The following is a 25,009-nucleotide window of genomic DNA, read 5'->3' as shown; positions in this document are numbered from 1 at the left end:
TTTGTTAGCTCAGTGCCAGGACTAGTTGACTTTTCACTTCTGTACTGGGCTTCTCCTGGGTCGGCTGCAGGAGTGCCCTTGGACGACTGTGGAGGTGTGAGAGGAACAGAAGGAGAAGAGAAGGGAGGGGGAAGGGACTGAGTCTGTACTGAGGCGGCTCCAGCCCCATAATGCACTTGGCTGATGTTTTTTCTCAGATGGGCAGGAAACAGGAAGTGGAGCACAGGAAATGAGTCAAGGTCAATGGTTAGAAAAGGATAAGAGTAATGAAGTCGTTGGCAACATGTCTGGGAAAGACTTCTAGGCTGGGGCTGGAGACCTGCAGTCCAGCCCCTACTTTCCCCTCAAGGAAGTGTGTCCTGGAGTGAGCCTCCCACCTCCTCAGGCTGCCAGAGATCTCTCAAGGGGAGAATGGGAATAAGGAAATTTGCCTTAACTGAGAGGTCCTTTGAAGATCACCTGTTGATTGTTGAACTTTTTAAAAACATTGTTGAGAGTACTCTATCATTGGTAATAGGAAATTATTGTGATTCTTCGGACCATTCTCTTCATATCTACACTTTTTGTTTTCATTGAGACGGAGTCTCGCTCTGTCACCCCAGGCTGGAGTGCAGTGGCGTGATCTCGGCTCACTGCAACCTCTGCTGCCCATGTTCAAGTGATTCTCCTGCCTCAGCCTCCTGAGTAGCTGGGACTACAGGCAAGCGCCACCACGCCCGGCTACTTTTTTTTGTATTTTTAGTAGAGACGGGGTTTCACTATGTTGGCCAGGCTGGTCTTAAACTCCTGACCTCGGGTGATCCACCCACCTTGGCCTCCCAAAGTGCCGGGATTACAGGCGTGAGCCACCACGCCTGGCGCATATCTACATTTAAATATAGTGTGTTAAATATAGCATTTTAAGACAAAATCTCATCAAAAATAGTGATTTGAGCTGATGGAAATGACTTATAGAAAAAAGACTGAAAAGAAATACACTAAGATGTTAACAGTGGTTACCTCTGGGTGGACGGACCATGGGTCATTCATACTTCTCTAAACTTTTAAATATTTTCTAACTTGTCTATAAGAAGAAATTAAATTTTTTTCAATATTTTAACAAGCGTGCACTATTTTTATTTTTTTGAGATGGGGTTTCGCTCTTTTGCCCAGGCTGGAGTGAATTGACGTGATCTCGGCTCACTGAAACCTCCGCCTCCCAGGTTCAAGCGATTCTCCTGCCTCAGCCTCCCGAGTAGCTGGGATTATAGGCATCTGCCACCACAGCCAGCTAATTTTTGCATTTTTAGTAGAGATGGGGTTTCACCATGTTGGCCAGGCTGGCCTCGAACTCCTGACCTCAGGTGATCCACCTGCCTCAGCCTCCCAAAGTGCTAAGATTACAGTTGTGAGCCACTGCACCTCTATTTTTATAACAGAGAAAATGAGCTTTTAAAAATATAGTTTCTGAACTAGGAGCATTCAAATAAAATTGGGAATTTATTTATTTAGTTATTTTGAGACGGAGTCTTGCTCTGTCACCCAGGCTGGAGTGCAGTGATCTTGCCTCACTGCAATCTCTGCCTCCTGAGTCCAAGGGATTCTCGTGCACCAGCCTCCCGGATAGCTGGGATTACAGACGTGCACCACCATGCCTGGATAATTTTTGTATTTTTAGTAAAGACAGAGTTTCACCATGTTGGCCAGGCTGGTCTCGAACTCCTGACCTCAAATGATCCACCCACCTTGGCCTCCCAAGTGCTGAGATTACAGGTGTGAGCCACTGCACCCAGCCAAAATTGGGAGTTAACATAGTAATGTACCTGTGTTAATTTCATAGTTGTGAAGAACATCCCCATGGTTGCATAAGATGCTTACATTGAGGGGAATCTGGGTAAAGGGTAGGGATATACAGGGACTCTCTGTGCTATCTTTTATCTTTGCAACTTTTATGTAAATCTAAAATTATTTCAAAGCAGAAGTTTAAAAATATGTATATTCCTTAGGGTCTATGAGGACTCCAACCTGGAAGTTGTGAGGAATGAATGTCAGTGACTTGCTTTGCTTCCTGCCCCTCTGGCCTTGCTTGTGGGCTCACACCTGCTTCCATTGCCTTCTCTGTCACTCCGTAAACATGAATAATGAACACCATACATAGTTCCTTCTGTTCTTCACAGTGGCCTCTTTACTTAAAGGAAGACAAGGCATTTACACGGAGAACGAGAGGAGGATGGGAGCCGTGATCAAGATCCGATTTTTCAAAATCATGCTGGTTTTAATTATTTGGTAACCTTTCTTCTATATATGTGTATTTTTATTGCCAGTGGGAAGGGCTATGGAAACAACTTGCCATGTTGCATGCGTGACCAGAAGTTCCAAAGGGAAGAGCCTTTGGGAAGGAAATCTTTGAGACTGTGCTAGGTGCCCTTTGAGGAAAGGCACAGAGGACAGGGGAGCAAGTCCAAAATTCATGAATTTCTGGAAAAACATTCAAATCTACTCAAATTATATATAAAGCCCTTAGAAAACGAACACCCAAGTTTAGTTTTGAAATGTCCCAACCATGTGCATTGCTGGGGTTAACCAAAACAAAGGGGTTGCGTATGCTTTTTTTTTTTTTTTTTTTTTTTTTGAGACAGGGTCTTTCTCTGTCACCCAGGCTGGAGTGCTGGAGTGCAGTGGCTCAATCACAGCTCACTGCAACCTTGATCTTTAGGGCTCAAGTGATCTTCTCACCTCAGCCTCCCAAGTAGTCTTACTCTGTCACCCAGGCTGGAGTGCAATGGCACGATCTCAGCTCGCTGCAACCTCCGCCTCTCAGGTTCAAGTGATTCTTCTGCCTCAGCCTCCCGAGTAGCTGGGATTACAGGTGTGTGCCACCACACTCAGCTCATTTTTGTATTTTTAGTAGAGTTGAGGTTTCACCATGTTGGCCAGGCTGGTCTCAAACTCCTGACCTCAAGTGATCCACCCGTCTAGGCCTCCCAAAGTACTGGGATTACAGGCGTGAGCCACCACACTCAGCTGGTCATGCTTTATAAACTCACCCATTTGCCTCACTCCTGACACCAGAATTCCTGTGCCTGACAGAGGGGCAAGGGCACGTCTTTGGTCAAGAAGGTTGGAGAACGGCCTGAGCAGTTTGTCTCTCCTCATTTTTCCCCACCACTGGTATCCTGTCCAAACCTTTCAGGTGGATACTTTGAAAACAGACCTGTAACCAATGCAAAAAATAAAACTGGAATCAGAACATGCTGCACTGTGGTGAATCAGTACCTTGCAGGCAGGGCAAGTACTTATGATGTTAAAAATTCACCTGCGCGGGTCGTGGTAGCTCACACTTTGGTAGTTGGAGGCAGGAGTATTCCTTGAGGTCAGGAGTTCAAAACCATCCTGGGCGATACAACAACAACAATTAGCCAGGAATGGTGGCACATGCCTATAGTCCCAGCTACTCGGGAGGCTGAGGCAGGAGGATCACTTGAGCCTAGGAGTTCGAGGCTACAGTGAGCTATGATCATGCCACTGCTCTCCAGCCTGTGTGACAGAGCGAGACCTTGTCTCTAAAACATAATAGTAATAATAATTCACCTGATATGAGCTTTGTTTGGACACCTTTCTTGGAGATACATAAATCATCTCCTACTAAAAATACACTCAGTTCAACATTTCATATTTCACTGAGCCACCTAAAATAACATTGAAAAATACTATTATAAAATGGCAAGAAAAAATTGTTTTGATCTCCATGAAAACTGTACGTTGCTCTTCAAACAAAAAATGAATTCTGGGTTATTTGATACAGTGCTAGAACCTTACACCCTGATGTGGTGTTGAGTGGTACCATTGGAAGGATTTGCTGATCTGTGCTTTAGACTGAGAAAACGAATTATGTTTTTTAAATTAAATTCTTAGTGTGCTGGTTCCTCTTAGTCTCATTTCTTTTCTTTTTCTTTCTGAGACAGGGTCTCACTTTGTCCCCCAGGCTGGAGTGCAGTGGCACATTCATAGCTCACTGCAGGCTCGATTTCCTGGGCTCAAGCGATCCTCCCACCCCAGCCTCCCAATTAGCTGGGACTACAGGTGCACACCACCACACCTGGTTAATTTTTTTATTTTTTATTTTTAGTAGAGACAAATTTCACTGTGTTGCCCAGGCTGGTCTCAGACTCCTGGGCTCAAGCAATCCTCCTGCCTCAGCCTCCCAAAGTGCTGGGATTACAGGAGGGAGCCATTGCACCTGGCCCTCTTAGTTTCTTACTGCAGAAGTGGCCATGTCTATACCGGGAGTTGGTACTTTTAGGTCTTGGTAGAAATTCTTCTCTGACTCTCCAGCATTTAAAAACGAGTTTCATTGCATGTTCTCTTTACCTGCTGCCATTTTCTTTCTAACAGTTGGTTGTCGAATATCATCAATGAAAGCCTTTTATTCTATCTTGAGATGCAAACAGATATCAATGGAGGTTCTTTGAAACCTGTCAGAACTGCAGCCAAGACCACATGGTTTATTATGGTAGGTCAATCTATATTTTATTTTAATTAGTTAATTATTTAATTAATTTGCTTCAGAGACAAGGTCTCACTCTGTCACCCAGGCTGGAAAGCGGTGGCATGATCATAGCTCACTGCAGCCTTAAACTCCTGGGCTCAAGCAATCCTCTGTCTTGGCCTCCTGAGTAACTGGGACTACAGGTGTATGCCTCCACCCTGGGCAATGTAGGGAGACCCCATCTCTTTTTTTAATTATCTATATTTAACACTTTCTGCTTGAAAAAAAATCAGAAGAAAAAGAAGCAGTCAGAAGTACAATATATTATATTTAAATACAGGATGAGCAAAATAGGCTCCTGGCCTTAGTGTGCTAGCTGGCTGTTTTGTTTGTTGTCGGGATCCTTATTAAATGCTTCAACTCTGGTCAAACAGTTTGGTGCAGTGTATCAAAGCTCCTGGCAGTCTCACAATATCAGAGCATGGATCTTGAAGGAATGCTTCAGACCATGAAAAAGCCACACAGATGAAGATATTCCTGGTAGCATTATCCTTCATAATTGTAAAGCATTATAGGCAACCTGGAGTTCCAAAAAAAAAAAAAAAAAAGAAAGAAAGAAATGTTTAAGTAAATTATGGTCTTTCATCTTGATGGACTATTACTCAGATGTTAAAAATGATGATTATGAAATCTCTGGTATTAACTGGGAAATCAAATATATACAATTATACCAATTACAAGTACAGAAAAACATGTTTATCTTTTTTCAACGGGGAAACAATGAAAAAACACAAGAAATGAAACAGAAAAAAAATTCATGTATTGGATGGACATACATGAAGAGAATGATGGGGTAGAAGCCCCATGGGCAAGTTGCCCCAGTGCTGCCATTCTCTCACCTTTATAAGAAGAAATGCACACGTGTTGTTGGCAGGGAGGTGCATATTGTACTATACAGAATCCATATTTATATTGCTTTTGAAATGGGGAAAGTCTCATTTACAAAGACTTTCAAATGGAGCCAGCACCGGTCCTTCCATCCCTGCACGTGGTTTGGAGCTTGGCTGGGTTCCTCTGGTGAACTTTATGTGTCCTTAGCACACAAGAGTGGAGGGATGTTTCCCAGACTCCGTCTGAGCCTCAGGAACCTTTATTACATCAAGTGCTCCCTTGGCAGCACAGGGTGGCAAACTGGGGAGAACAGAGGCCCCCAGGCTGCAGGAGGAGCTGGCTGTTCAGTCCCTGTGCTACAGCGCTCCCTCTCCCCTTCTCCCACTGCTGCCCTCTTCTCCTCCCCCACCCTCTCCTCCCACTTTCTCCTTCTCCTGTCTTCCCTCCTCTCTCTTGTCCTCTGTCCCCTTTCTTCCCTTCTCTACTCCAGCTCCTCCCCGTCCCCTCCTCTCCCCACTCCCCTCTGCTTTCAGGCACCCTTGAAGGTACAGCACCTACTGTGGCCAATCTTCATCTTGCCCCAAACCAACCCACCAACCAGTCAACCAGCCACCAGCCAACCCATGGTCCCTTCCAAGCGAGTCCAGCCCTGTGGGCATCCTGGGGGGAGTGTGTCACTCTGTGACAGCCCAGGGCTCTGACTTCTGCTACGCTGCACTGACTGCCATGTGTCTTTCTGTCCTCTCTCCAGGGAATCCTGAATCCAGCCCAGGGATTTCTCTTGTCTTTGGCCTTCTACGGCTGGACAGGATGCAGCCTGGGTTTTCAGTCTCCCAGGAAGGAGATCCAGTGGGAATCACTGACCACCTCGGCTGCTGAGGGGGCTCACCCATCCCCACTGATGCCCCATGAAAACCCTGCTTCCGGGAAGGTGTCTCAAGTGGGTGGGCAGACTTCTGACGAAGCCCTGAGCATGCTGTCTGAAGGTAATGCCCTGTCTGCCACAGCAGGTAGACTTCGGGGTCCCAGGGCTCCCCTTGGAAAGCCTTAGAGGATTCTTTGTCCCGGGGGCTGTCCTGTGCATGGCGGGGTGTTCAGCAGCACCTCTCATGTGAACTCACTAGCTTCCAGTTGCACCTCCCCAATTGTGACAACCAAAACTCTTTCTAGACATTGACAAATGTCTCCTGGGGAGCCACAGTGGCCCCCAGTTCACAACCAGTGTCTCAGAATAATTAGGCTTGGATCTAAAAATGTGATTTTTTTCCAGATGTTGTCTGAGCTAAATGCACACAAACACAAAACCAAAGACAAACACCACACAATCCCGTGATGGGGTGTACCAAAATAATGTTGAAATTTGGAGTAAGAAAAATAATATGCAGAAAGATGTTTGGAAATGGCTTAAGGAGTTCCGTTTTCTTTTCCATTCCTACTATTCAAATACACTGAAGGGAGGCCAAGGCAGGTGGATCACTTGAGGTCAGGAGTTAGAGACGAGCTTGACCAACATGGTGAAACTCCATCTCTACTAAAAATACAAAAATAGCTGGGTGTGGAGGCTCATGCCTGTAATGCCAGCAGGTTTGGGAGGCCAAGGTGGGCGGATCACCTGAGGTCAGGAATTCGAGACCAGCCTGACCAACATGGTGAAAACCCGTCGCTACGAAAAATACAAAATTAGCCGGCATGGAGGCACACACCTGTAATCACAGCTACTTGGGAGGCTGAGGCAGGAGAATCACTTGTACCTGGGAGGAGGAGGTTGCAGTCAGCTGAGATCGCGCCATTGCACTCCAGCTGGGGCAACAAGAGTGAAGCCCCGTCTAAAAAACAAAACAAAAACAAAAACAAACAAATACATTGAAGGAAGTTTCACTTTCAGGTGACAAGCTTGGTTTACTTTGAAGACCAAAAAATATGGTGATGAACTGATGAATTGATTCCATGATACCGTACTGTCTGGTTGAAATTGGGAGCCATGAAGAGAAAGAGATAGTTCTGGCTGAAGCTAAAAGACACAGAGAGAAGATTTATTTACAGACTTTCCGTCTGGTACAAATAGTTCACGAAGCATGAGGGACCCACCAGCTGGAACTGCTGTTAGTCTGTAGAGTTACTGATACCATCTAGGGAATGAAGCAAAAAATGTTATCTTGAATTATTTGGCTTTGCATTCCCATCCTGCTGTTTTAAAGTGGCTGAGCAGATATTTGACAGTCAAATAAAACACTAGAAATAACAGTAAAAGTCCCCTGCACCCCACCCCAATCACCACCACCAAACAAAATCCATCAGCATTTCCTTACTTCCACTCCCTCCGGCAAGCTGTTGCATAGATCTTCTGCTCAAAGGTTGGATGTTTTCACATAGAGGTTTTAGAAAAAGCAAATACAGATCCAATAGAAAAATAAGCAGGGCAGCCATCCCTGGAGGCTGCTCTCTGTGAGGGCTCCCTGTTTTTGTTTTTTGAGACAGGGTCTCCCTCTGTCATCCAGGCTAGAGTGTAGCGGAAGGAACACGTCTCACTGCAGCCTCCACCTTCTGGGCTCAAGCAATCCTCCCACCTGAGTCTCCTGAGTAGCTGGGACTACAGGTGCACACCACCATGCCTAGTTTATTTTATTTTTTAGTGTTTGGAGACACGAGGTCCCATTATGTTGCCCAGGCTAGTCTCAAGTGGTCCTCCTGCATCGGCCTCCCAAAGTGCTGGGATAATAGGCTTGAGCCACTGCACCTGGTCCCTTGGCTTTTTAAAAAATTTCAGATATAATTAACGTACCATAAAGGTCACCCCTTTAAATGGCACATTTCAGTGGTTGTGCACACGTCACCACTATCTAAGTCAGAACATGTTCATCGTTGCAGAAAGAAACCCTGTGCCCCCAGGGAGTCATTTCCCTTCTCTTCTCCCCAGCCCCTGGCAACCATGAATCTCCTTTCTGTCTCTATGGCTTTGCTGTTCCAGACCTTACATGGAAAGGGCATTGTGTAATATTCGTCCTGTTGTGTCTGGTTTCTTGTACTTCGGATAGTGTTTTCTAGATTCGCCCATGTTGTAGCAGGTGTCAGAACTTCATTCTTTTTATGGATTGATAATATTTCGTTGTATGGATACACCTATTCTTTGTTTTATTTATTTATTTTTGAGACAGGGTCTCACTCTGTTGTCCAGGCTGAAGTGCAGTGGAATGAACATGGCTCACTGCAGCCTTGATCTCCTGGGCTCAAGCTATCTTTCCACCTCAGCCTCCTGAGTAGCTAGGACAACAAGCAGGTGCCAACACACCCTGCTAATTTTCTTTGGTTTTGTGTGTGTGTTTTTAAAATTTATTTTATAGAGCTGGGGTCTCCCTATGTTGCCCAGATTGGTCTTAAACTCTTGTAAATGATCCTCCCACCTTGGCCTCCCAAAGTGCTAGGATTATAGGCCTGAGCCACTGCACCTGGCCCACTCTTATTCTGTTAATAACTACTTATGACTGCCCCAAACTCTACCAGGCTGTGTACTAGGAGCTGAGTGGGGTGGAGATACTGGAGATGTGTAAACCTGGCCCTCAAGGATCTCACAGTCTATTGGAGAAAATTAAAATATTTTAAAAAATCATTCTATTCTAACAATAGAACACTCAATGGAAATACCAATTGGAGAAAACACTGGAGGAAAAGGAAAGAACAAAAGGAAAGCCTTTTGAGAAAAATGAGAAATACAATCGGTATTTTTTTATTGTGGGAAGAATTCCTGTAAAAATGGCAGCTGCCAATTTAGAACTCCAAGTGACATATTATTAGGTAACATCTGTCAGGGTTTTTGAGGATAGAGCTTGAAGCATAGAGTGAGTTTTCAGAATTAACAACAAACATCTGCAAAAGTATAAAGTGGCCTGGCCTGGTAGTATGAACCTGTATCCCCAGCTACTCAGGAGGCTGAGGAAGGAGGATCGTTTGAGGCCAGGAGTTGGAGTCCAGACTGGGCAACATAGTGAGACCCCATCTCTTTAAAAAAAAGTATAAAGTGGCGGTGCTACTGAGGTGGTGGTTAGGGTCATAAGTTTACATCTAGTCACCCTTTGAATATCTTAAAATTGCCCATAACATGCAGTCATCACCATTTTGTATGGTAACCCTATGCAGGAATTTGCATACATTAATCTAAAAAGAATTGAAAAGGCTTTTATTCAGAAATTAATTTGCTGCCTAGGACACCTCACATTTTTTAATATTTCCACATCGGACTTTTGGCTCTCATCACCATTGTATTGTTTGGGGACAATTTTAGGATCCCTTCTAAATCTTTCCTGGTCGGTATGTCTCTGGGGCCACTTGCCTGTCACCCCAGAATGTGCTTCCCTTCTGTCAGTGGCGGGGGAAACGCAGGTGTCATTCCGATTTTCCTACCAGAGCTTTACCAGCTTGCAGGCAGCAGGATCCCTGGGACTATGTAAATCCTCACCTACTCTCCCTGCCATACCTCCCCAGCCCCTCACTAAGTAGAGGTGAATTTGGGTAAGTTAAGTGTGCATCGGATACTACTTCTGTGCGTAAAGTCAAGGAAAACCCCTTACCAGGGCTGCTTTCCTATTGGCTGCACCTGATTACTACGATGGCAGATACAGAAAAAACTTAGCCATGGGCTTCTCCCTATGTAGACAGTGGATATAAAGCTCAACTTGTTCATCATACCCTTCAGACCCTACTGCTTCGGGTTTCACTACAAGACCAATAGGCTGGCATGGAGCTTTATTAAGTATCTGATATGGTGTCTGGAACTTACTAGGTACTTCACACAAGTTAACTGAATTTTGTCTTAAGCAAATATTCAACACCATTTTAGCCGGGATGGGTGAGTGTTCCTGAGAAGTATAATTTGTGAAACTCCCAAGTAAGTAAGGACAATACTGTTTTTTTTTTTAAACCTGTGAAGGGTTAAAGGAACACAGGCAATGCAGGACTAAGTTGGTTTTGGAACACTGGTGAGAGTTCCTGGAGAAGGTGATGTGCGGGCTGGGTCTTAGATGATAGAACAGCATAGGCAAAGAGGAGACAGAAAATCTAGATGAGGAAGACGCGGTGTTGAGAGTTAGCATAGAAAGTCTGCGTCTTGTTTGGGGACGGTTGTGGCTCAGCGTGGTATGGAGGCGTTGGGGGAAGCTGGAGAAGTGGTGAAGGGTTTATAAAGATTCTGCTAGGGCGTTTGGGCTTTATCCGGTGGCCAGCGAAAGGCCAGTTAAGGTTTTTAAGTGGAGAGACACTGCAATTTGCTTGTAGGACCAGCCCAGTGCATGGGCGTGGAAGAAAACACGTAATGCATCGCGTTTTGTGATTGTGGCAGCAGTTTCCATTGAGGGGATCTGTGTCTCCGCTTAGGGAGGCGGAGAGCCGCTGGATGGAGCTCGGTTCCACGCCCCGTCACCATTGTGCCTCCTTGCTGAACACTCTCTGCTCATCAAGTCGAGGTGTTGGGATCTGGGACAATCCTGAAGAGAGTCATTACTAGGGGAGGATTGTGCACCTGAACCGCTTTTGACTCCCTAGATGTGCAGGCACCCAACTCCCGGGCCTGCGCTGGCTCTCAGGAGACCCAGCCCCTTGGTACCTCCCGGTTTCCCTCCAGGGAGCGAGCCAGGGGGGCATGGCCTGGCAGGAGGGGTGGGGACTGGGTGGAGCTTATAGAGCCTGGCCGGGGCTGTGTTTTGGGGTAGGGCCTGGTGAGAGCGAAGGGGCAGAGTCTGGCAGGAGGGATGTGGCTACTAAGAGCAGGGCATTTCTGATGGGAGCAGGAGTATAGATCTTTCCTGGAAGACGAGTGTGCTAGTACACAAACTTGCAAGATTTAAGGATCATCCCGGGGAGAAGCCCAGGCCGGTGAGGCTGAGGCTTAGGGCTTGTTGGGAGTGGAGGGGTCGTGGTTAGGATAGAACAGAGGGGCTGTGTTCCCACACAGGTGGGGTGAGGCCCATTCAGAGCCCAGAAACATGGCCAGAAAGGAGCGTAGCTGTATCTCCCACAATGCCTTTTATCTCCCCCAATTCCATATGACACCCACCCCGCCATTCTTGGTTTGACCATCAATCCTCTCTACTCTCCACAATTCTGTTTCTCCCATAATTCTCTGTCTCTCCCACAATTCCGTGTATCTCCCACAATACCCTGTATTTTCCCCGATTCTGTATTTCTCCCAGAGTTCCATGGCTCTCCCATAATTTGGCATTCTTCCCCACAGTCCCCTGTCTCTCCCACAATTCTTTTTTCTCTCATAATTCCCTATTTCTCTCACAATAACATTCTCCTAACAATTGTTTTCTCCCACAATTCTCCATTCTATTTTTTCTTGAAAATCTGTTTTCTTCTATAATCTATTTTATTCTTCTTCTTTTTTTTTTTTTTTTTGAGACAGAGTTTCGCTGTTGTTGCCCAGACTGGAGTGCAATGGCGCGATCTAAGCTCACCACAACCTCTGCCTCCTGGGTTCAAATGATTCTCCTGCCTCAGCCTCCTGAGTAGCTGGGATTATAGGCACCCACCACTACGCCCAGCTAATTTTTGTATTTTTAGTAGAGACGGAGTTTCACCAGGTTGGCCAGGCTGGTCTGGAACTCCTGACTTTGTGATCTGCCCGCCTCGGCCTCCCAAAGTGTTGGGATTACAGGCGTGAGCCACTGCATCAGGCCTCTTCTATAATCTATTTTCTACCACAATCTGTCTCTCCTACAGTTCTCCATTCTCCACTCTAATTTGTTCTCTCCCACAAGTCTCCATTCTCTACCACAATTCCCTGCCTGTCCCTCAATTCCTCTTCTTTCCCATAATTCTCCATTCTTCCCAATAATCCTTTCTTTTTTTCCACAGTTCTCTTTCTCACACTACCTTGAGTCCCCCACAATCCCAATCTTTCCCACAATTCCTTGTTTCTCCCACAATCCCTTTTTACAATTTTTCATAATGCCGTGAATCTTCCATAATACCTGGAATCTCGCACAAGCCTTGTCTTTCCCACAATTCTGTTACACAGTACCTTGAGTCTCCCACAATCCCCATCTTTCCCACAATTACTATTTTCTCCCACAATATGGCTTCATGGTTTTCCATAAATGCCTTGCATCTCCCATAATACCTGGAATCTCCCACAAGCCTTGTCTTTCCCGCAATTCTGTGTTTCTCCCATAGTACCTTCAGTCTCCCACAACCTCCATCTTTCCCATGATTCCTTTTTTCTCCCACAATACGGCTTCACAATTTTCTATAATGCCTTGCATTTCCCATAATACCTTGCGTCTCCCACAATTCCTTTCGTCTGCCACAATCCTTGCCTTTCTCCAGCAATTTCCTGTTTCTTTCTCCCACAATTTCTTTCTCCCACAATCCCCATCTTTCCCACGATTCCTTTTTTCTCCCACGATAAAGCTTCAGAATTTTCCATAATGCCTTGTGTCTCCCATGATATCTTGAGTCTCCCATAATTCCTTTTGTCTCCCACAATCCTTGTCTTTCTCCAGGAATTTCCTGTTTCTCCCACTGTACCATATTTCTCTAACAATTTCTTCTTTCCCACTCGTCTCTTCTTTCTCTCAGAATTTGCCATTCTTTTTTTTTTTTTTTTTTTTTGAGATGGAGTTTCATTCACTCTGTCGCCAAGGCTGAGTGCAGCGGCACGATCTCGGCTCACTGCAACCTCCACCTCTTGGGCTCAAGTGATTCTTGTGCCTCAGCCTCCGGAGTAGCTGGGACTACAGGTGCACACCACCATGCCTGGCTAATTTTTGTATTTTTAGTAGAGATGGGGTTTCACCATGTTGGCCAGGCTAGTTTCAAACTCCCGACCTCAAGTGATCTGCCCACTTCGGCTTCCCAAAGTGCTGGGATTATAGGTGTGAGTCACCGTGCCCAGCCAATTCTCCATTTTTCTATTTCAGAAATCTTTCTTTTGTAATTGTATTCTCTCTATACCATATTCTCTCTGCCCTGTAATTCCATTTCTCCTACAACTAATTCTGCACCATAATTCCTTTTCTCCCAAGATACAGTATTCTCTCCCGCCATTTCCTGCTTTTCCCACAATTGCAGCTCTTTCCCACAATTCTCTATTCCCACCCATAGTCCTGTATGTTTCTTACCGGTCTGTCTTTCCCACAATGCCTTGTTTTCCCATACTTCTTTGTTTCTCCCACAACTCTGTTCTCCACAGTTCCTGTCCTTCACACAATTCCCTGCTCTCCCAGAATTCCTTATTTCTCCCACAATTTTGGTCATTCCTACAATCCTCTGTTTCCTCCCATAATTCCCTATTCATCTCACAATCTCTGTCTTTCCCATGGTTCTCTGGTCTCTCCCACAGTTCCGTTTCTCTCTTAAGTCCCCATTTATCCAATAATCTTTGTCTTTGCCACAAATTCTCTATTTCTCCTACAATTTTTTATTCTTATCTTTCACAGATCTCTTTTTCTATAATTCTACTCTCTATTAAATTGTCTCACATGCAGTTCTTTTTCAATTTTTCATTTTCTGCCATAATTTCTCTCCCCAAATTCAACATTTTCCTCCACAATTCCTGACCTTTCTCACAATTTCATCACTTTCCCATAACTCTCTAGTCTTTCCCATTAATCCTTTGTGCCTGGCACAGTTCTCTTTTCCACAGTATCTTGCCTTCCACAATTCCTTCCCCCCCCCCCCAATTCCTTATATTGCCCACAATTCCCTATTCTCTCTCACAATTCTCTGTTCTCTGTTCTCTCTCACAAATCTCTGTTCCCTCCTACAATTCCATTTTCTCCCATGATGTTTTGTATTCCTCACACTTCCCTGGCTCTCCCCAAATTCCCTTTCTGTCCCATAGTGCCTCATTCTCACTAAAATTCTTATTTTTTTCTACATTTTTCTGTTCTCTCCCACAATACCCTATCTTTCCCATAATTCTTTTTCTCTTGTAAGTCCCAGTTTTCCACCATTTTTTCCCCATGAGTCTGTCCTTTCCCATAATTCTTGGCTCTCCCTCCAAATTCTGTTCCCTTCCGCACTTTTCCATTATCTTCCATATTTCTCCATCATTCTTGTACATCTCCACTGTTTCTCTTCTAAGATTCTCCTTCCCTTTTTTTTTTTGAGACAGAGTCTTGCTCTGTTGCCCAGGCTGGAGTGCAGTAGCATGATTTCAGCTCACTGCAACCTCTGCCTCCTGGGCTCAAGCGATTCTCCTGCCTCAGGCTCCCTAAGTTCCAGCTACTTTTTTTGTATTTTTCGTAGAGATGTGGTTTCCCCATTTTGGCTAGGCTAGTCTTGAATTCCTGACCTCAAGCTTTTTTATTTTTTAAATTCCATATCCCAACAGGCCTCTGTTTTAGTAGGTTATTAAAATCCAGCTTTTGAAATATAAATAAGTATTCTCTCAGAGCACTTCTTTCAAGACAGCAAACACCCAAAGCCCCAGCCCTTCCCCTTCCCGTGCCTGTTACCCTCTCATAGTTTCAGTGGAACCCTGCTGATTCATTCAAATACTGACAGCAACAAGTGAGTGGGAGAGAGTGGGGTGCTTTGGACCAGTTGGGGCTTGTTTCCACAAGTAAGCTGTAGAGATAAATGTGGGCATATGGAGGAAGGTAGGGAAGGCAGGAGTACCTGTGAGGGACAGACCCTTTTCTGGAACAGGAGGAGTCATGCTTCAAACAAGAGCCTTTGGGGCACTCAGTGGCTGCCTTTCAAGGCTGCTTCTTTTCACTGCCTCTGAAAAGCCATCATGTTAGCCTGGACTTCTCTTCCCCTCCATAATTTGCAAAATTTCTAGTAAGCTGTTAGACCAGCCACCTCCCAATGGCAAGGCCCCTTACCTAGCACCATGCATACACAGAATTTTTTCAGCAGCCTGTTCTCCAAGTAGCACCCTGAGACACTGCCCAAGAATTGGACATTATTCCACTCCTCTGCAAAACCCACCCAGCTCAGGTGAAGTCTCAGCTTGGGCTCTGGGAGATCAGCTTTCCCCTCAGTGGTCTGCTGTTACCTTCCCCTCTCCCTAAAAGTAACACGTGGTGTCTTCATCAACTGTAGTTGCTTTGAGGGTGTGGAAGAGAAAATACCCTAGGGCCTTGGACTTTGTTGAGCTGGCGAGATCAAATTTAACACCTTGAAGTGGAGTTGGGCCAGGTGTCATGTTTTCTATGGTTCATGCTCAGTGCCCACTGGTTGGGGTTTCAGTTCTAGGACTTCAAAGATTTCAGGGGATCTGAGAAAGGCAGTTGAGGGCACAAGGGACATCCAATATACAGTCATGCAACACTTAACGATGAGGATACATTCTGAGAAATGCATGTTAGGCAATTTCATTGCTGTGTGAACACCATAGAGTTTAAACAAACCTAGAGGGTATACCCAACTACACACCTGGGCTAGATGGTACAGCCTCTTGCTCCTAAGCTACAGACCTGTAAAGCATGTTACTGCACTGAATACTGTAGGCAACTGTAGCACAGTAATACTTGTATATATAAACATGGCTAAATATAAAAAAGGGACAGTAAAAATGCAGTATTATAATCTTATGGGACCACTGTCATATATGTGGAATGTTGTTGACCAAAAGGTTATTATGTGGTGCATGGCTGTATGTCCAAATCTCAGATCTGCATGGGGCTGAGAGAATCCAAACAACCTACCTGGACTTGCAAGGCTCATTAAAGAGGGCCAGTTGGAAGGGGGTTGGCCCTTGGGTACCATGAGGTCACTGGGACGTGCATTTCCTGCAGGGACGTTAGATCTTCACAGATTTTGCAACAATTGGGAATTAGTCAACATCTTCCAACAGCCTGGTTGAATTATCTTCTCAGAGACTTGCTCAGCCAGCACGTTCCCTGCTCACAGAGACCTTTAAGACCAGCAGAGAAACCCTTGGAAATTCAAGGCTGCTGGAAAGCACTCATTGAGCTGAGCACAGGCAGGCTGAACTTGGGCAGCTCCCTCCCAGCAGAATTTACTTCAAGAAAGTTGTCATGCATAAATATTCTCTTCCATGGAGCCCTAGGGAGAGGATGAAAGCACTAGAAATTCTTCAAAGCCACAGGACCCAGAACATGTCCCAGAGTGTGAGGTCACGGGGGAGTGTCCTCAGTCCAGACCTTGATCACAAGCCACCATGTGACATCCCAGCCCAGAGTCTATTTGAAAAGAACCACAGAAATCACAAAGGAGTTCCCATGAATCCAGATGTCCTCATAAACAGTGTGTGACCCTGTTAGAATCAAGTATTTTTGAAGTGCCACCAGCCCCCTTCCAGCAAGAATGTTGCTCCGGAACTGGAAGGCTCCTTTAGAAGTTTTCCCAGCTGGTGTCTGGGCTCCAGAAAAAGCAGATTCACCACACTGACAAAACCACCCTCTCCACCATCCTTGTCGGCTACCCAGACTCTCCTCAGGATCTGGCTGGGCGATCTACGGCCAGATCCATCCTCCCCACATCCTTGAATCCCTTTACCTGCCCTTCAAGCAGCTCATCACACTTGATCTGAGTTACTCAGACCAAGATTATCCAGGACTCATCTTAATCCAAACCTGGGAGGAAGATCTGAGTGTCGTGTCCTCCCACAGCCCACAGTGCTTGTGTGTGTGTGGGCAGGTGCATGTGTATGTGTTGGAGGAACACCACAATATTGCACTTGCCTTTTTTTTTGAGGTGGGATCTCACTCTGTTGCCCAGGCTGGAGTGCAGTGGCATGATCATGGCTCACTGCAGCTTCAAACTCCTGGGCTTAAGAGATCCTTCCACCTCAGCCTCCCAAGTAGCTGGAACCACAGGCACACGCAATCATGCCTTTTTTTTTTTTTTTTTTTTTTTTTTTTTTTAAGAGATAGGGTCTATGTTGCCCAGGCTGGTCTCACACTCAAGCACTCCTCCTGACTCGGTCTCCCAAAGTGCTAGGGTTACAGCTGGAGCCATCGTGCCCAGCCCACACTTGCCTTCTTGGTAATATTGTCATCTCTTGCTGTAGCTCAGGCTTCCCTAATCCTTTCCAAGTACATCTCTCCTGATGTCACAGTTTCTCACTTCCTCTTTTCTATATAACTCTAATTTTTTTTTTTTTTGTTCCTTAACATGTCCTCTCAAACTCTGCATGTATCTCTTTTAAAATTGTGCTTGTTCCTGCCCTTTTCTTTATACTCATGTCTTAATGAGTGCTCCAAGGTACTAGTGCTGCATCCCGTTGCTGTCAAGGCACCTATGTGACTGTACTGACCCATTCCCCATGTTTATTGGGCACCCTCTACATGCCAGGTGTTGTCTGGGGCATTAGGTACACTATGGTGACCAAGACACATTCCCTGTCCACTGAGACTCCACTCTAGTGGCAGAGACAGAAAGAAAAACACAAATAATGACATCATATTCCAGCCAGGTAGTGGGACGTGCCATGAAGAAAAATCAGGGAGGAGGTAGGAGCATGGTTTTAGAGAGGGTGTCCTGAGAGTCTTCCTGAGCATGACGTAATATTAGAATTGAGACCTTAATGAACTGTAGGAGCCATGAGAAAATCAGAAGAGCTTTACAGGCAGAAAAAGAGAGGCACCAATGCCCTGTGGCAGGACCAAGCCTGGAGTGAGAGGGAGAGAGGCAGTGTGCTTAAGGGTGTGAGGGAGCTGAGAGGAACACAGAGTAAGCTGCAGTTGTCAGCAAGGCCCATGGGTGGAGGGCTTTGGAGGCTTTTTGGAGTGCAGTCACTTGCCCCATCTGTTGTTAGGAAGGCCACTCTCTGTTGTGTCTTCCACCTGTGTATTCCCCATGTGAAAGCCCATAACCTGTGTTGCGGCTGGAGCAAGTACTCTAGGATATTTGGGGATTGGAAGAATAATTCTGACATTGGTTCCAAAGGGTCTCACAGATTCTGAAGGAAGACATGTTGCTGGAATTGATGCAGGATTTTATTCTTGGTCACTTTGCAAGCTGGGGACCTCTGGCTGGTGATGCCCCGCCCAGGCCTCGCTCGGCCATGCTACCTGTTGCAGGAGATGGCCTGCCCACCCAGCTTGCATGGGCCAAGTCTGGCTTGCACACCAGTTCTCAAGTTCTTGTCCCATGCCCAAGAAGAATGAGGATGCACTGACTATAGAAGAGTGAGCAAGGCAGGGAGTTTTGAGTGATGAAACTGCTTTCAGCAGAAAGGGGACACAGGGGTGGTCCCCCTACCAGAAGGTGGGAAAGTTTCCCTAATATGGCTGAGTCTGGGGCTTTTATGGGCTCAGAATCGGGGAGGAGCAGGCCTTAGGTAGTACTGGAAAAGGCAATGTTCGATTGGTTAAAAGGCATTATTCAGAAAGAATCAATTGAGAAAGGGCAGGAACAGAGGTTCTCCCTTTGGGTTGTGGATTTCATCCGTTACCAGCAGTCCAGTCTTTCAGACTTCAGGCTGTTTTTGGCTTGAAGGTGGGGTCGAAACCCCAAACCAGGGACCCACTCCTATCTGCCTAGGCATTTGGCTGCCTCCTGTCACTATCAGAATGATGACTGACATCCAGGATTACTCTTTCGATGGGAGTGATGTTAACTTTCATACTGCTGATTGCTGCCTACGTTTTTCTCCCTCTTTGTATTGTGTCTGCTTTTTGTAAATCTTGTCACATTCTGGAAGGACAGGAGAAAGGGGAAGATTGATTAACAAATAAAGAAAACAGGACCAAAGGAAATAATGAAATCAAAAGAAAGCCAGGTAGAATTAGCCCCACATAGTTAAAATGGATTAGTAGTTTGGCTTTGGGCTTTCTAAATGGGGAGTAAAGAGAAAAATGTGACCAGTTACAAGATTCTTCATGATTTAAAAGAAAACATTGGGCACGGAAGCAAACTGCCATGAAATCCAGGCCTGAGAAAAATGTCTCCAGCGATTTCTCATGAAGGGAATGCTGAGCATATTTGGACAAATATATTCTGGTATTTACAAAAATATCATTCATCACTTTATCATCATATCTAGGGTCACAATCAGAAAAAATGAGCCCAATTTGACAGAGTTACCAGGCATGTACTACTGTGTATTTAGTTGGGCATTGAGAGATGAGTTTTCCATGAGTAGAGTTAGATGCTGACAGGGAGGAGCTACTTGCTGAAACCATATGGCATCGTCCATGAAAAGACAATTGGGAGATGGCATAGTTTTACAGAGCGGTGGTCTCCCTCCCTTTGGGCACTTCCTAGAATTGAGTGTAGGTAGCCAGGCAACCATAGGGTCCCTGTTGTGTTAGTTACCATCCTCAGTAGAAGCTGCACCAGTGGTCACAAGAGTGTGTTCTGCTCCTGCATCAGACAGCACGTGTCCTGGGGCTCTGAAATCTTCCTAAACCAACAGTTGTGTCACCTGCAGCATCTGTGCCGCAGTCACCTATCAATCAACTGGCCTAGATGATTCTGTAGGGCTTGTGTCATCCGTTGTAATGATTTAATAAAATGTAGATGGAAAGTTGATGTAGATTTCCACCCCTCCCACCTTTTTTTTTTTTTTTTTTTTTTTTTGCAGATGAGATGAATGCTAGGACTTTGACCAAAGTTGGTCCATGAAAAACTCCATGCACTGAATACTGAGCATTTTCTGAAGCTGATGACAAACCTGCTAGGACACAGACACAGTCAGTCTTTTGTCTTTTCCTCTCCAGGTTCTGATGCCAGCACAATTGAAATTCACACTGCAAGTGAATCCTGCAACAAAAATGAGGGTGACCCTGCTCTCCCAACCCATGGAGACCTATGAAGGGGATGTGCTGGGGGTCCAGACCCCATATTCCTCAGACTCAACAATTCTTGTTCTTTAGAACTGTGTTCTCACCTTCCCAACACTGCACTGCCGAAGTGTAGCGGCCCCCAAACCTTGCTCTCATCACCAGCTAGAGCTTCTTCCCGAAGGGCCTTTAGGATAGGAGAAAGGGTTCATGCACACACGTGTGAGAATGGAAGAGCCCCCTCCAGACCACTCTACAGCTGCTCTAGCCTTAGTTGCCACTAGGAAGTTTTCTGAGGCTGGCTGTAAAGTAAGTGTAAGGTCCACATCCTTGGGGAAGTAGTTAAATAAAATAGTTATGACTGAGCTCTCAGCCTGACTTGGATTCTGTCTTAACACTTCTAGCAAAAGAAAATAAATACATGTACAGTTATGCATTGCTTAATGATGGGGATGAGTTCTGAGAAATATATCGCTAGGTGGTATCACTGTTGTGTGAATACCATAGAGCACAGTTACACAAACCTAGATGGTACAGGCTACAGCACACTTATGCTATACGGTAGAGCCTATGGCTCCTATGCTACAAACCTGAACATCATGTGACTGTACCAAATACTGTAGACAACTGTACCACAGTGGTAGTTTTGTATCTAAACATACCTAAACATAGAAAAGGTGCAGTAAAGATGTGATTTCTAGAGGAAATGCTCTTGACTAAGCTTATTGATGATGCCAAACAGCAGCAAGGTAGAGATGCAGCAGGATGAATAGGGAACCAGGGCCCCGTGGAGCAGCAGCACAGCCTGGCCTCCTAACACACACTAGGGGGCAGAGAAGACAGCATGACTTTGCTCAGGAATTGAGCTTCATGCTGTGTTGAGTAATGACATAGTCTAAGGAATACTTGGAACCTGACTAATGCCCATATTTCCATCAGTTAAGATATATGAGGGAACTTCAAAAAGTTCATTGAAAAATGAAATGAAAAGATAAAAAACAAACGCTATTTCTCAACATAGGCTCCATCAAGGTCAAGATACTTTGTAAGTGATGACACCAGCCATGTAGTCCATCCCTAAAGAACCGAGGGTCCTGGGAATTTAACCATGTCAGTGCAGTCTTTTTTACACTATTAACTGAAGAAAAATGGGTGCCCTTTAAGGATTAGGAAAGAAAAATAAGTCAGAAGGAGGCAAATCAGGACTGTAAGGTGGATGTCTAATGATTTCCCACCGAAACTCTTGCAGAATTGCCCATTTGATGAGAGGAATGAGCGGAAGCATTGCTGTGGTGGACTCCCTGGCAAAGCTTTCCAGGACATTTTTCTGCTAAAGCTTTGGCTAATTTTCTCAAAACATTCTCATAATAAGATGTTACTGTTCTTTGGCCCTCCAGAAAGTCAACAAGCAAAATGCCTTGAGCATCCTGAAAAACTGTTGCTCTGACCTCTGGTCTTGGCCAGTCTGCTTTGCCTTGACTGGACTACTTTTGCCTCCTGGTAGTCATTGCTTTGATTGTGCTTTGTCTTCAGGATGGTAATGGGAAATCCATGCTTCATCTCCTGTTACAATTCTTCAAAGAAATGCTTCAGGATCTTGATCCCATTTGGTTAAAATTTCCATCAAAAGCTCAGCTCTTGTCTGCAGCTGACCTGGGTGCAACAGTTTTGGCACCCATAGAGTGCAAAATTTGCTCAATTTTAATGTTTCAGTCAGAATTACATAAGCTTAACCAGTTGAGATGTCTACGGTGTTGGCTATTGTCTGTCTGTACTGTTAATTGCTGGTCCTCTTCAATTAGGGCATGAACAAGATAAATTTTTTCATCACAACTTGATGTGGATGGTTTGCCATGGTGGGCTTCATCTTCAACATCATCTCATCCATTCTTAAAATGAGTTATCCACCATTTGTAAACTGATGTCTTTAGGGCACTGTGCCCATAAACTATTCATCAAGTCCATTCAAACTTCACCATAAATTTGATGCTTGTTCTTGTTTCAATTTTAACAATTTATGTTGCTCTGATAGAGGCTCTTTTCAGGTTGATATCTTATCATTCTTAGTGCCTCAAACTAGATCCTGTTAAGAGAGGTTCTAACAAATTAGTATGAGTTTATTTTGAGGCAAGACATTTTTGAAATCCATGTATAGTTTTTCCATAATATGTATGTCCATGAACTTTTTGAAGCTTTTTTTTTCCCTCCCCAAAATGTTGCAGCATGCAGGGGGATTACAATCCACCAGCATGTATATAGAAAAGCAAGACACACTATCTTCTCAGGACACTGCAGACAGCTCTGCCATGTGACACCTCGCTTCATATCAAGATTAGGACTCCTTTTCTTCTACAAGAGTCCAGCAAGGTTCTGCATTTGCACGTCTGAAGTCAACAAGGCTGTAGATGGATTGTGAACACACCATGAGGTAGTGTCTGCCCAGGGCTGTCCCAGCTCTCTGGATAACCATTGCTTCACTTTCCCAGGACGAGCCTGGGCTAGGCCACACTGACGTTGATCAAAGGTATCAAGGAGATGTGAAGTTTTAGATTTTCTAGGGGAATCTGCATCCTTCAGCTCAGTAGTGCCATTCTGTCTGCCCTCTCCCTCAGGATCAGAAGCCCTTCCTCTGTTTGAGGATCCCCTCTTACCTGATGAGGCAGTCCCACCACCCCATTCAAAAACCAAAGAGGCCAGCTGCTGGCTTTTCCAGCCTCCCTTGCAGCTAGAGCAAGGCACGTGACCTGACAGAGCCAATCAGGCATGTCTTACATGTTAGAAGCTTGTGCCTCAGGGAATGGACTGCAGAGAAACACTTCTGAAGCCTTGGCAGCAGGCAGGCCCACTTTGGCAGGTAGCATTGGGTGTGCCTCCAGGGCCAGTCCAGCATCCAGTATCGGGGTGTGGGCAGCATCCAGTATCGGGGTGTGGGCAGCACCCAGTTCCATCTCTGTCATCTTCATGAGCCTAGTCCTGCAGCCTGCTCTTGGCGGTTCCTGTCTGTTTGGCCTCTGAGCCCAGTTCTCCAGTTTCTTAAAGCTGCCCAATATCTGGCTCATTCATTCCTTTGGGCTTACATTAGCTAGAGTCAGGTTCTGAAGCTTTCAAACAAGAACCCTGAGATCTGAGTATCCAGCCAAGATAAGGACTCCCAGATGGGGCACCAGGCATCACCAGCTGATACTCATGCATATGTCTTTAACCTGGTGAGCTGAGCTGAGTGAGAGGGTGAGGCACTGGGCCAGGCCTAGGTACTGGGGACAGAAACATTATCATCAGGATGTGTATTAAGGCAATCTAGGGAATGAGGAGACAACTGAGCAAACAAATGATGAACTGAGATGATGGCCAGCCTTGGTTCTGAGTGACTTCCCTGTAAGGCTGGTTACTGCAGGGGATGTGCTTGTTCTGTTACCGTTTAAAGATGGCAGGTGCTCAAGTACCTTGGGGTGCTACAGGAATGATCCAGTGGAGAGAAAGCGATGATGATGATGGAAGGAAAGTTCTTGAAGAAGTGAGAAGGAACTAGGATCTACAGCCAGGAGTTTGGGTTGGCCTGTGACAAGGAGGCAACAACAGAGGTGTAGCTGGGAGCAGAGTTTGGGTGGAAAGGGGAGACTCTTCCCATCAGATAGCTTTCACTTGATTTTAATTTACTGGCCAGTTTATCAATCCCACCATCAATTTCTTTTAAGAGACAGGGTCAGCGGGGCACGGTGGCTCACACCTTTAATCTTAGTACTTTGAAAGGCTGAGGTGGGTGGATCACTTGAGGCCAGGAGTTCAAGACCAGCCTGGCCAAGCTGGCAAAAAACCATCTCTACTAAACATACAAAAATTAGCTGGGCATGGTGGCACACACCTGTATCCCAGCTACTTGGGAGGCTGAGACACTAGAATTGCTTGAGCCTGGGAGGCAGAGGCTACGGTGAACCAGGATAGCACCACTGCAGTCCACCCTCGGTGACAGAGCAAGACCCTGTCTCAAAAAAAAAAAAAAAAAAAAAAAGAGGAAGACAGGGTCTTGCTGTGTCACCCAGGCTGGAGTGCAGTGGCGCCATCATGGTTCGTTGCAGCCTCGATTTTCTGGGCTCAAGTGATCTTCAGCCTCCCAAGTAGCTGAGATCACAGGCACTCGCCACCATGCCCAGCTAATTTTTATGTAGAGATGAGGGTCTCACCATGTTGCTCAGGGTAAAAAACTTTTTAGTAGCCTACTAATTTCCCCCATTTCACAGTAAGATATCATCACGTGCAGGTATGTTTTTACGGAAGAACGCATACACCCAGCTGTTTGTTTCCCACAGTGTCTCAAGATAAGTACCTTTTGCATAAGGATAACTGTTCCTAACCAAAGCGTCCATTCTCCAGAGCATTTGCTTCACATTCTAGCTGAAGGGTGGTCCTACAGACAACATCCTCCTCCCCGAACCCACTGTTCCTTCTCTATTCTCCAGACTGAACTTCTTGCCTTACTTACCGTGCTGTGGATGAGACACTTCAGAGACAAAGGACCCAGACTGGACAAAAACTGGCTCAGACATCTTTTTTAAGGGCATAAATCTGTTCTCCTCCCCCTCCTACCCTTTTCCTGTACTTCACAAGGGACTTCCAGGTTTCCACCAGACAGCCATCATCAACAGCCAGCTTCCAGACAGAACTTGTGCAGAGAGCTTTCTGTGAACATGAATAATGTTCTCTGATATCCTTTTGAAACAGCACCAAGATGGGGCAATTTAAAAAAAAAAGCGAGATCTCTGTTTAGTGAGTTGAAACTTAGATTCCTAAAATAAAGGAGGAGCTTCAATGGACTGGGGGAACCTTTTGAGACGCACTGCGGGGAAGGGTTCCATCCATCTGAAGATTTAAGTTATATAAATTCTGGCAATCGTGGTCCCAATCAACTTTCCTCTATATCACAAAGAAACCCACTTAGAGCCAGTCATACGTCAACGGC

The 25,009-nt window shown here is 45.4% G+C and overlaps 1 protein-coding gene and 1 long non-coding RNA gene across 4 annotated transcripts in view, besides 1 other annotated feature; one reads left to right on the top strand and one right to left on the bottom strand.

Moving 5' to 3' along the window:
* The window catches only part of GPR143 (G protein-coupled receptor 143), a 53,257-nt gene extending 32,773 nt beyond the window's left edge, over positions 1 to 20,484 (top strand). For 2 of the 3 annotated variants that reach the window (XM_024452388.2, NM_000273.3), the window contains exons 6-9: positions 2,157 to 2,265; positions 4,375 to 4,492; positions 6,111 to 6,345; positions 19,990 to 20,484. In XM_024452388.2, coding sequence (XP_024308156.1) covers positions 2,157 to 2,265; positions 4,375 to 4,492; positions 6,111 to 6,345; positions 19,990 to 20,084 — 557 coding nt within the window. In that variant the 3' untranslated portion in view covers positions 20,085 to 20,484. Of the gene's footprint in view, positions 1 to 2,156; positions 2,266 to 4,374; positions 4,493 to 6,110; positions 6,346 to 19,853 lie in introns of all 3 variants that reach the window. The other variant, NM_001440781.1, reaches the window with a different exon arrangement.
* Positions 4,777 to 8,730, bottom strand: LOC105373126 (uncharacterized). The gene is made up of 2 exons (XR_950507.2): positions 7,111 to 8,730; positions 4,777 to 5,048 (listed from the first exon to the last, which is right to left on the bottom strand). It is a non-coding gene; the product is annotated as an uncharacterized LOC105373126 (long non-coding RNA).
* Positions 6,387 to 6,506: an enhancer, noted in NCBI's record as "active region_29403". NCBI's record gives its function as "activates an Ori minimal core promoter by ATAC-STARR-seq in GM12878 lymphoblastoid cells {active_cell/tissue: GM12878}" and the evidence as "EXISTENCE:reporter gene assay evidence [ECO:0000049][PMID:35858748]".

This window comes from Homo sapiens, chromosome X (assembly GCF_000001405.40).
Source record: "Homo sapiens chromosome X, GRCh38.p14 Primary Assembly".
Taxonomy (NCBI): Eukaryota; Metazoa; Chordata; class Mammalia; order Primates; family Hominidae; genus Homo; species Homo sapiens.
This window is presented reverse-complemented; position numbering and strand designations above follow the sequence as displayed.